The sequence below is a fragment of the Homo sapiens genome, chromosome 15 (assembly GCF_000001405.40).
Source record: "Homo sapiens chromosome 15, GRCh38.p14 Primary Assembly".
In the NCBI taxonomy this organism is placed as follows: domain Eukaryota; kingdom Metazoa; phylum Chordata; class Mammalia; order Primates; family Hominidae; genus Homo; species Homo sapiens.
The window spans coordinates 99962302-99975071 of record NC_000015.10 but is presented as its reverse complement, the minus strand read 5'-3'; the positions used below and the strand labels follow the sequence as shown (position 1 = coordinate 99975071).

The following is a 12770-nucleotide window of genomic DNA, read 5'->3' as shown; positions in this document are numbered from 1 at the left end:
AAGTATAGTTGTGTCTTTTCAAGCACCGGCCTGCTTGGGAACTTCAGGACCTCCCTTGAGCAGGGCCTTCTCTCTGTACAATCAAGACCCTGAAGGATATTTGGGCCACTTGTATGTACTTGGACCTCATGCTTTTTGGGGTCCTTTGATGTCCACTGTTCCATGTTGTCCTGTTTTATAAATGCCTACAGTAATGGTACCCTTGGCCACAAAATAGTAAGTGCCACTTAGCTCGGAAGCAAGGTGGCCTGTGCCCTCTTCCCTGAAGAGGCAGCCAGACCACCACACTCTGTCATGTGGTTGGGTTTGGATGCAAAGGTGCATCCCTGTGACAGAAAGTGGCACCCCCAGTGCCCTGGCAGGAGGCATGGCCTAATCAGTGCAAAGGGTTGACGTGTGCACGAGGGTGAGGGAGCCCAGACGGTCAGACCACAAGCCCTCCCTGTGCCTGCATCAGGACATGCCTAGGCCATCCCTGACCCTGGGTATTCTCTCTCCTATCCCCTTAGCTGCTCTGACCTACAAATGCACACGAGACCAGTGGACGGTATATTGCCGGGTCATCCGAGAAAAGAACCTCTGCCAGGACATGCGGTGGTACCAGCGCTGCTGCCAGACCTGCAGGGACTTCTATGCAAACAAGATGCGCCAGCCACCGCCGAACTCGTGACACGCAGTCCCAAGGGTCGCTCAAAGCTCAGACTCAGGTCTGAAACCCACCCACCCGCAAGCCTACCAGCCTTGTGGCCACGCCCCCACCCGGCTGCCACAAGAATCCAACTACATAGAACATGAGCGTGGACTTGGCGTTTGCCATTAGTGCTTCCGTACTTAATATATTGTTAACAGCCACTGGCTGGCTTTCTACAGTGAGGAGAAAGTAGGCATGAGTCACAAAGTAACTTCAATTTCTAGGATTTCAGGTACCTCGAAGGGAAGCACCTCTGGCAGACAACCGTCAAGAGAGAGACATCATTTAGTGTTCTTGTCTTGACTCGCTTTTGACATTTGAATTTCCAGTGCTTGGTATATCATGGAGGAAACATCCCCAAAACGAGACATGCTAGAAAAGGCTTTATTCTGAAAGCCGGCGACACCATGGAGGGAGGGGCAGGTGTTGGTGAGCCTCTGCCCGTGGCTTCTCTGGGGAGGGCCGGGCTGCTTAGCACACGTTTCTCTCCATCTACCTTCTTGACCACATGAGAACCAGGACGTTGCCTCCATGCCCGTCTCTGAGAACATAGTCTCTAAATCCTAGGTGTTGCCTTGGAAGTCTCGTGCGTGGAGTGTAAATCTATATATGCCAGCGAGGACAGCAGTGCCACGCAGTTCATACCACCCGCATGGGAAGAATGTTCCAAGAGAGTCTGGGTTTGGGGAAGCATCTAATTTTCAGAGCTCTGCTGTCCACCGTGTAGGGAAACAGAAGGGCCTCTCTTCAAGGTGCTGTGACATAAGAAACGGTAATTGCGGTGATGGGGTTGCTTCCTAAGGCAAAGGTAAGCTTGGGCCAGCTTCACTGGGGCGGATGGGCACCTGCCCCGCCTTCCGGGAACATCCACTCTGGCCTGCACTTCCTAAAGCTTTGTACCTTAGAGATGCTGTACCACATCCCAGTGGCTTTCTACCGACCGTGGCCATTTATCTGAAGGTAAGACGACATTTGGGACCTCTGAGGACACAAGCCCAGGCCTAGGATCTGTAGAGCAAGGCCTGACTGCTCTATCCTGGCACGGAGCAGCCTGATGTGCCAGGACCAGGGGAGGAACGCCATCTGGCTGGCACTGCTGCACACCCGCCGAGCCTTCCTGTAGCCCCAGACTTTGTGGTACCCATTATCATCACGCCTGTCATCATTGACCCATCTTCTTGGTGGGGCAAGGATGATGCATGATGAAGGAAGGTCCTTCCCCCCTGCAGCCCCCTTACGCCTGGCAGCAGACAAGCAGAGTGGCCTCTTTGAGAGCACAGAGGATGGTAGCACCCTACCTGCAAGGAGGCCGGGCAGGGACCCTAGATGCCAGGAGGCCTGTTTTGCTCACCAACTTGGTGGGCATTTCATGGGTGCTTATGTTCTAGGACTTTACCGTAAATAACACCTCCTCCCTGATTTCAGACGGAAGGTCTCACTTGGACTTCCATGGGATCATCTCCCTGTGCTTCTTGATTTATTGGTGCTGTGTTTCTGTGTTTTGTTTTGTTACATGTCACAACCGTAGAGTTAGCTTAAATCAGAAAGAAGCCTCTCTGCCTTCTCCACCCTGTCTTACGAGCTGTGTTTTTGTTTTTACTACCCTAGAGGCAGAGAAGCGGTAGGGATGTCAGGGAATTTACTCACTTCCACTTGAATCAACGAGAAGTGTTGAGAAACTTCCGTGGGTGCTCTGTGGAAAGAACCGAGGGTGTCAGGATGGAGCGGCCCACCCTCGCCCCGCGGCCTGCGCAGACTGCTGTCCTCCCCTTCAGGCCTGGCCACCAGCAGACTCCCATGAATTCCCATTTTCACAAAGCCCTCAAAATTTTGGGGGCGCTGAGGTTCAATTTTCTTCATCCCCAAATGAACTGTTAATTCACTGAAAGACATTTAGACTTTTGCAGCCAAGGAGCAGAGCCGGGCAAGCTCACTAAGGAAGCCTTAGCTTGGTCTCCTGCATGGGCCCCGGGGCCTCCAGATATGCCCACTGTCACCCTGGCAAGGGCCCCACACCCTCAGAATGAAAAGGATTGATTGGGTTATTGTCAGATACCCCCATTAGTTCCCCTAAAGTCTGCATCTGCAGAGCTCTTTTAGCTCATCTTTTTGTTGTCGGTGTTGTTTTTTGAGACAGAGTCTCCCTCTGTTGCCCAGGCTGGAGTGCAGTGGCGCGATCTCAGCTCATTGAAAGCTCCGCCTCCCGGGTTCAGGCCATTCTTCTGCCTCACCCTCCCCAGTAGCTGGGACTACAGGCGCCCACCACCACGCCCACCTACTTTTTTGTATTTTTACTAGAGACGGGGTTTCACCATGTTAGCCAGGATGGTCTCGATCTCCTGACCTCATGATCCACCCGCCTCAGCCTTCCAAAGTGCTGGGATTACAGGAGTGAGCCACCGCGCCCGGCCTTTTAGCTTATCTTGAAATCCACCAGCCTACCTTCTGTTCATGGCACGAGCAGTGATTTCAGTGAAACCATCATAAACATTCTTGTTCCACTAGATGCTGATCACAGCAGTGATGTTTCTGTGTTAATACCCTGTACTGTCCCTCGAGTACTGTACCTTTGTGCTTGCACACGTGTCACTAACGCACGTGTTACCAGAGTCTCACGACCCTACGGTGCTATTTTTATTGGTGCAAAATTAAACCCTCTCAGCTGACCGTTGCTGGATAGGATCAGAATGCAGGAAAAGAGCCTCTATGGCAATACGATTGTCCTTTTTTCGTTTCAGAGTCAAATGTATCTATTTTCCATTCGTTAACTTGCATTACATACTGTACCCATGGAATTTTTGTTTTACTTTTTGGGGCTGGTTTTGAAAGGAAAAAAAACGGAAGACAAACATTGGACGCCATTATACATGAAAATTATATAGAAAAATTAATCATTTCATTGGAAGCAAGTTGAATATGTGTAATAAAATGTTTTTCCATAACAGTTTAAAGCTGTCTGTGAAGTAAAAGACATAAGCCAGTCCCCAAGGGCTGTCTCCTTCCCCACTGTGGTGGCCACCTGGCTTGCCAGGGACTTGGCTGCAGGGAGCCTGCTGGCCACAGCTGGAGTTGGTGTCAGAGGTCACTGGGAAATGCAGTTCGGGGGGATGGCTGCCTCTCCCTGAGCGAGTGCTAACAAATCTTTCTTTCAGTCCTGGCCTCATCCCGTTGTGGTTGCAAAACCCTGGGTGGGGACCTGAGGGTCTGACAGTTGTGCTGTGAGCCTGCGCATCTGATGTAGGGCAGCCACCTCACTGGCAGAGTGGCCCATGCTCCAAGACCCATGCTGCAGAGTGCACGCCCTGGCCACGCTGGCTGGAGAGCCATGCTGAACTCTCCAGCCGCTACCCCCACCCCCACAACCCTGCCAACAGCCCTCACAGCTTCCCTCTGCCAGCAGATGTGACGGCAAGTCCCGGCCCTGCACATCCCCCAGCACTGCAGACAGGACAGGGGTTCCACACCACCACAGTGGGAACAACCACAGCCATTTGGATCCCATCTGGGCCTGACATGGAACACACATGTCACAGCTTACAGGGATGGGGAGTCCATCTCCTCCTGGAGTCAGGAGAAACCCCTACACTCACAACCTTAGAACCCTCTATGAAGACTAAAGCAGGCCAGGTGCAGCAGCTCACACCTGTAATCCCAGAACTTTGGGAAGTTGACATGGGAGGCTTGAGGCCAAGAGTTGACCAGCCTGGGCAAAATAGTGAGACCCCTGTCTACTAAAGTTAGCCGGGTGTGGTGGCATACTCCTGTAGTCCCTCCCAGCTACTCAGGAGGCTGAGGCAAGAAGGTCACCCGAGCCCAGGAGTTGGAGGCTGCAGTGAGCTGTGATTGTGCCACTGTACTCCAGCCTGGACAACACAGCAAGACCCTATCTAAGAAAAAAAAAAAAAACTGGTGTAGCACCCAGAAATCTCACTAAAAAAATAATTTGACAGACAACACACTGCCCACAGCCCCCTGGACACTGGAAAACCTGTGGTTTGTGTAAATTCTCAAGAACCGTCGCCCACCTGCCTCCAGGAGGTGTTAGAACCCTCTTGTCCTTCCTCCGTTCTACCCTTTCTGGCGGGTTGGCTTTTAACAGCCCTGTTCATGTGGAATTTCTTCATGAGCTGCTGTGATTCCTGGATGGCCCCAGTGATTCCGGTTTGTTAGATGAAATTGACAAGCTGTCCATCAGCAAGTGTCAAGTAGGCATCTGTTGGGGACCAAGCACTTCCTAGAACCAAAGAGAATGCAAAGGAACAGAAGTCTTATTCAGGAGCCCACAGCCCCACGGGGCAGAGAAACCTGGAGACGCGCACAGCTGGGAATGAGCCCGAGGAACAGAGCTCGGAAGAGGGAAAGGTCAGGATGTCCTCTGTGGGTTTGTTGACTGACCTTCTGGACACAGATTAGAAGGGCTGGGGTTGGAAGCTTTTACTGCAGCACCCTCTCTCTGTAAAAGGTCTCAGCAAAAGCCTTTGCATTTCTGCTCCCAGGTACAAACTTGCCTGCATGTGTGTCCACCTTCTCTGCCTGACAAGGAAGCAGTGCCCAGCCTTCCTGGAAAGCCAGCCCTCCCACCATCACTGACCTCCCCCCTTCCCCAGCAGCGCTCCACACACCACCTCACCTCTGGTCATGAACTCCCCTGGCTTTTGCCCTCTGCTCTGCAGTAACACTCTTCTTGACAGGTCACCAATGACTTCATGGCATCAGGTTGCGTGGACATCCTAGTGTCCTGTTCCCCAGCTCCCAGCAGCCCTCCCCTTTGACACAGCCCCTCTGCAGCACCACACACTGCTGCCTTTCCTCGCCTCTCCCCACCATCCAGCTAGTGATGGAGTGCCCCAAGCTCAGTCCTCCACCCTTTTCTATGTACTTTCTCCCTAGGTCATATTACCTGGACTCAAGAGTTTTTACACCATGTACATTCTGTTATCTTCCAAGTGAACATTTTGGGCCCTGACAGCCATCCCGGCCCACCTCTGTACTCACGCATGACTCTCCACGTGCATATACTCAATCCCCCGGGAAGTTTGGGACTAAGATGGCGCTTCATAGTTGTCCTAAATCTGCAATTTCAGCAGAGGGTTTGGTGAGGGCAGCTCACCTCTGCTGGGGTGGCTCAAAGGTCAAGTAGAGACTGGAAGGGTCAGAAGGGCTATAGTCTTGCACCTGTGGCCGGTGATGACAGCTGTCAGTCAGAACTTCCGCTAGGACCATCAGCCGGGACACCTGCAAGGGGCCTCTCCAAGGGATGGTGGGATTTTGGTGGCAAACATCCCAAGAGTGAGCTGCACAACCTCTTGTGACAACTCAGAAGTTCCACAGCATCACTCCCACCATACCCTAAGAGCAAGGCAGGCACAAAGGCTCACCTGAGTTTAAGGGGAGGGGACAAAGAGTCCACCTCTTGCTGGGGGTGGTGTCAGGGTTCTGGAAGAACAACTGGACTGGGAAATACTGTTAGGGCCATTTTTAGGAGATTCACACACATCCCCTGTATTAGTCAGGGTTCTCCAGGGAAATGGAACCAAGAGAATAGATGAGATTTATTAAGGGAATTGGCTCACATGATGATTGGAGGCCAAGAAGTCCTGCCACCTGCTCTCTGCCAGCGGGAGACTCAGGAAAGCTGCCACTGCAATTCAGTCTCAGTCCAAAGGCCGGAGAACCTGGAGTTCTGGGGCCGGAGAAGATGGATGGTCCAGCTCCAGCAGAGTGCAGATTTACCCTTCGTCAGCCTTCCTGTTCTATTCGGGCCCTCAGCAGATTGGACAGTGCCCACCCACCTTGGTGGAGGTGGATCTTCTTTACTCAGTCTATGGATTCAGACACTCATGTCTTCCAGAAATAGCCTCACAGACACTTCCAGAAATCATGTTTTACCAGCCAACTGGGCATCCCTTTACCCAGGCAAGTTGACATATAAAATTAACCTTCATATTCACACATGCAAAATACACTCACCCCTCCCCCACCCCAGCCCTAAAGTCTCATCTCCTTTCAGCATCAGGCTCGGGACTGCATCCCCTGAATCAGGTGCCGATGTGGCTCCTCCAGCATGGTTCCCCAGGCACGGGCCCTTGAGCACTGGTTCTAAAATTCCGTGAACTAAAGAGACACATCCTCTCCCCTCCACCCAGAGGCTCAAGAGAAGATGGTGGCAACGGCATAAGACAACCACTGCAGACACTCCCTATTTTAAAAGGAGGGACAGAGAAGGCACGTGACAGGCACCATCCAGCAGCTGACGTCCAGTCTGGCACATGGTGCCAATTCCATTAGGCTCAGTCCTACTGCCAGGGAACGATTCTCCTTGGACTGCCTCCAGAAGCCAAAGAGGCTTTTGGCATATTGTGATTCATTCTTAATGATAGGGGAGGCATGATTCAATAAAGTGTCCTTCCTTTTGGAGAGCATGTTCTGACACGCCCCCAGCTACTTGGACTCCTATGAACTTCACTGATAAAATGAGCCCTTGGGCTGGGCACGGTGGCTCATGCCTGTAATCCCAGCACATTGGGAGGCCAAGGCGGGCGGATAATGAGGTCAGGAGATCAAGAGATCAAGACCATCCTGGCCAACATGGTGAAACCCCATCTCTACTAAAAATACAAAAATTAGCTGGGTGTAGTGGCATGCGCCTGTAGTCCCAGCTACTTGGGAGGCTGAGGCAGAAGAACTGCTTGAATCCGGGATGCGGAGGTTGCAGTGAGCCGAGATGGTGCCACTGCACTCCAGCCTGGGGGAGAGAACGCGACTCCGTCTCAAAAAAAAAAAAAGAGGGGGGTGCCCTCAAATTTTCATAGGGCTTTTCTCCCCCAGCCTAGAGTCCATGTGTCCTCCCACAGCCTCTAGTCTACTTACCACTCCTGTGCATCTGGTCTGATTAACATGATGTCACAGATACAGTGGATCAGTCCAAGTTCTTGGGAGAGTCTTTACAATCCAGGCCCTCTCAGGCAGTATCATAACAGAGAATTAACATCAGCCTCGGGGAGGACAAGTGGAAACTTGTGTCTGTCACACTTCTTTGGCCCCACTCCTCCTTTCTGATATGGATGGAAATGAATGCCTTCCCCAGCCACTGGCCATCATCCTTGCATCTGAATCACGTTAATTTGCTCTAGCAAAGACATCACACCTGGCACAGCAGTTTGTGTGGGGCTCATTCTTGGATACAATTGCAGTAGTCCACTGTGGTCAGAGAGGATCCACTGTGAATTTCGTAGATGCCAGACTGAGGAATTGCATGGGAATATGATGGGGACAACCACAGCAGCATCCTTTAGGTCTTTAAGAATGACATTCATAATGCTATTCTCACTGGGTTGCAACATTGCTATTGATTTACTGTCTTGCCTGGTGTCATGAGTGGTGCAAGATTAGAGATAACCAGGTCCACAAACATTTGTATCTTTCTACAATGTCAGACTTTTATTGATGCCATTTCAATCACAGAAGCCCAAAGTTCGATGGGGTTCCCAAGTATGCAGTTCTCCTTAGTACTACCCATTCACTTGGTAGTCAGAGCCATGGGCACCAGGCTCAAGCCCCTCCACGGGTCAGTCAATATTGCAAACCACGCATAATAGTATACATAGTCACTCACGCCTATAATCCCAGCACTTTGGGAGGCCAAGGCAGGTGGATCACCTGAGGTTAGGAATTCAAGACCAGCCTGGCCAACATGGTGAAACCCTGTCTCTGCTAAAAATACAAAACTTAGCCAGGCATGGTGGCAGGTGCCTGTAGTCCCAGCTACTCAGGAGGTCGAGGCAGGAGAATCGCTTGAACCTGGGAGGTGAAGGTTGCAGTGAGCCGAGATCACGCCACTGCACTCCAGCCTGGGTGCCAAAGCTAGACTCAGTCTCAATAATAATATACATAGTCACTATATAAATGTTACAGATTAAACATTCCACAGTAAACAAAGTAACATTTAACATCAAGAGAAAAAGATTGAAAGAATTAATCAACCAGGCCAGGGGAAGTAAGACAAAATGAGTCCTGGACTGGGTTGGCCAGTCCATCGGTCTTGCAAGGAAGAGCCTTTGATATAGCAGAGCCTTTGGAGGCAGATGTGAAGTTCTTATCATAAGTGACTGCAAGACCATGTCAATTAAGATGGCCAGTTGAAGCTGCTGAAGGGCTGGCTGTTCTTTTATGGTCACAGAGTCCTCTGGTGAGAACTGATAGTACTAAATAGAAGAGTATGCTTATTTGTGACCTTATCTGGTTGGATGCTGTCTTAATTTTTTTATTTGTTTCCTAAGCAAAACATCTCATCCTTGTTGGCAAAGTGCCCTATGAAATATACAATTGAGGGAGGCCGAGGCGGGTGGATCACGAGGTCAGGAGTTCGAGACCAACCTGGTCAACATAGTGAAACCCCATCTCTACTAAAGATACAAAAAAATTACCCGGGCATGGCGGCACGTGCCTGTAATCCCAGCTACTTAGGAAGCTGAGGCAGGAGAATAGCTTGAACCTGGGAGGTGGAGGTTGCAGTGAGCCGAGATCACGCCACTGCACTCCAGCCTGGGACAGAGTGAGACTCCATCTCAAGAAAAGAAAAAAGAAATATATAATGCAGTCCTTTTCTAAGATGGAGTTAGTTATGTCAAGGGTGCTATATACACCCGGGGAGAGGGAGGTAGTTTCACAGACTTCCACTTGGCCCTCCCCATTACAGTAGTTTTTTACCCTACAGGCCAAGGACCAAGTCCAGCCATTACCAGTACACATTTAGGGAGGGGGAAACCATCACTGCGAGGCTTCACGGACCCACCAGACCCACTGTGAACCAAACCTGGACCAGGCCCCATTTATTATGTGAACTCCATTCCTCGTCACTCTGAAACGGGGACCACAATGACACTCAGTAGCCGGGGTACCAGTGTCAACTTGGATCCTGTGTGCAAGTCCTCTAAATGCCTGCGTATCTTTCTCTCCAACAAGTCAATGGCTGTAGGTTCCTTTGGGGAAAGATTGGGGGCAATTAATTGATACCCTTCTCCCTGGGACCCAACCTCTCCTTCAGTCAATGGATTCTGGGCATGAAAACCGGCTCAGACTGGAAACTGAGCAAGACGCCATGTTTGACAGGATGGTTGCTCTTGTGATCGCCCTTTTTTAGTCAATGTGTAAACTGAGTAATACTATAAATGTACAATGAATTGAGTTATAGGTGGGAAGTTGGCTGCTCCTCTGTCTGGCCCTAGTAGGGCTCTATTAACTATTTCCAACCCCTGTCTGTAGGTCAGGCCCCCTGCTGCTTCTCTGACCTTGCTGCCCCTCATGATCTTACGCCCACCCTTTTTCTGACTGTGAAGGGCTTACCATGTGGCTTTATTTTGTGATCCTATTAGCCTCATGGCTATCAGGGAGCCCAGTTCTGCACAGCATCCCCTGCTGTCAGCCATGACCTACAGGGAACCGTTCTGCTGGAACTTCTCCACAATGCTGCTGCCCTTTCAGCAGGACCTCCTCACTGCTTTGGGAAATGGAGGAGTTTCCCTCAGACCCTCCTATGGAACATCGGATGGGGGCTGGGAAGGTGTTCCAGCCTTAGAAAGAATATCCTCTCTAGCAGGCCCAGCCTCTGACTCTTCTGAACCCTCTATCTCTACCTACCAAAACACTTCTTTTTTTTTTTGAGACTGAGTCTCACTCTGTCACCCAGGCTGGAGTGCAGTGGTGCAATCTCAGCTCACTGTAACCTCTATTTCCTGGGTTCAAGCGATTCTCCTGCCTCAGCCTCCTGAGAACCTGGGATTACAGGCGCCCACCACCACGCCTAGTTAATTTTTGTATTTTTAGTAGAGATGGGGTTTCGCCATGTTGGCCAGGCTGGTCTTGACCTCCTGACCTCAGGTGATCCACCTACCTCAGCCTCCCAAAGTGCTGGGATTACAGGTGTGAGCCACCATGCCCGGCCCCTACCATAACACTTCTACTGCACTTTGCGAGACCATCACTGTCCCCAAGGTTCTGTGAGCCATCTGTCTCCCAGGGTCCTTGGGAGGGAGTTAAATCCATGCAGAGAACTCCCGCTGCAAGAGGTAGAATTCCCCCTTCTACCTTCATGTCCACTGTTCCTTATCCAGCACTTCAGATCCGGTCTGGTACACTCTCCTGGCATCTGCATGTCCGTTCTTGCTAGGGCCTGCAGCTCCTTCGGGATCTAGTTCCTTTCCCCCTCCACCTGAGTTACATTGTGACTTAGGAATCTGTCTGGTGGCCAGGAGGGGAGGTGGGGGAGATCCTGATTCTAACACAGCATTTGTATTATCTTACAAGGCACAGGACTCGGTATCATCTTTAAGCAAGGGAGCAGTGATAGATAGCTTTAATAGGGAAGAGAGGGCCACTTCCGCAGGCTGGAAAGCGTCTAGAGAATGTGGGGTTTCACAGTTTTTAGGACATTTACTGAGTTATCCCCCCTTCCAATCCCAGAATCCCACTCCTTCGTAATCAGGATTCTGACCTGCATGTAGCCAACTTCCTGGGGTTGAGGATTCAGCCTTCTCTGAAGCTTCTGTAGTCATTACCATTGAAGCCTGGCCTGATCCTCAACGCTTTCTGCCCTCTTAAGACATAAGGGCCTCGTTTCACACTTCCCCTTAAATTAGTGATTAATCATCTGTAGCATTTTTATTGTCTTTCTCCAATGCATCACTAACACTGGCAACAGCCACTTCATTTCTTTGCCTTGGAATTTCTGTTTCCCTGTATCTTTCAAATGACTGAGCTATTGCGCCATCAGTGAAGGCTTAATCATTGCCCATACAGATGCCAGAGGCTTCCCTCCTGGGAGGTTGGTGAGGGGGGGGGGGGGTGCGGGGGAGCCCTTGTATCCAGCTGGCAGGTGATGGCAGCTCCAAAATCCTATTTTAGGGTCTGCTTCCTATAGGACCACTCCTGGCACCAGCTGCCTTAGTTTGGGTTCTCAAGAGCCAGTCTGAGATGGAGGCTTGTGGGGAGGTTGATTGGGAGGTACCCTCGGGAATCCTGTGATGAGGAAGAAAGGATTTGGCACAGGCAGGTACCATGGGGAGCTGTAGAGTGGAACGGTTGTCTCAAACAGAGGCAAGGTGGCAGGCCTTCGTGTATCACAGGACGAATGCCATCTTGAGGGTTCACTGTCTTCTGCTGAGAGGGTACTGGGGACAGACTCAGTTGTGAGCAGCCACCACTCCTGGCAGCTGGGGACAGCCCTCAGTCCTGAAGGGGGATCTGTGTGGCATACCACACCATACACCACATGCCTTAAACTTAGATTGTTACAAATTAAATGCCCAATTAACTGCGGCTTCCCCAAATCAGTAAATGGCACCACTAACCAACTAATGTCTGATATCAAAACATCAAAGTCACCTTTCTTTCCTCAGTTTCCCTTCCTGTCCTCAACCCAATTCAGCCACAGATACCATTGGTTCTACCTCCAAAGGATATCTCTAATCTGCCCACTTCTCCCTATCTTCACTGCCACGCGGTGGCTGTGCGCCAAGTCGCAGACATTTCACCAGGACCCCACAGTAGCTTCCTGTCATAGTCCATTAGGGCTGCTATAACAAACACCTTAGCCTGGGTAATTTATAAATAGAGACATACTGCTCCCAGTTCCAGAGACTGGAAGGTCAAGGTACCAGAAGAATCAGTGTCTGGTGAGGGCTCCCCCCTACTTGAGAGATTCTGCCTTCTCACTGAGTCCCCACATGGTGGTAGAAGGGGCGAACATGCTCTCTGGGTTCTCTTAGTAACGACTCTAGTCCCATTCATGAGAGCTCCACCCTCGTGGCCTGATCACCTCCCAGAGGCCCTACCTCCCAACACCACTGCACTGAGAATTAAGTTCGACATCTGAATTTTGGGAAGACACAAACATTCAGACTATCACACTTCCTGACCGTCTCCCTCCGACACACTCTCCACACCCTAGCCAGGGTAATATCGGAAAAACGTAAATCATAATAAAAACTTAAGTGGCATTCCCTGCTTAACATCCTCTGATAGCTTCTCACCCCTGTGGTCCTCTCAGACCCCCGTTCCCTCCTCTCCTACCCTGTCCTTC

General features: G+C 50.8%; 1 protein-coding gene across 10 annotated transcripts in view; it reads left to right on the top strand.

The window, feature by feature from the left end:
- ADAMTS17 (ADAM metallopeptidase with thrombospondin type 1 motif 17) overlaps positions 1-3635 on the top strand; it is a 370539-nt gene extending 366904 nt beyond the window's left edge. For all 10 annotated transcript variants that reach the window (NM_139057.4, XM_005254872.4, XM_011521312.3 and 7 more), the window contains one exon: positions 510-3635. In NM_139057.4, the coding sequence (NP_620688.2) occupies positions 510-670 (161 nt within the window). In that variant the 3' untranslated portion in view covers positions 671-3635. The remainder of the gene's footprint in view (positions 1-509) is intronic.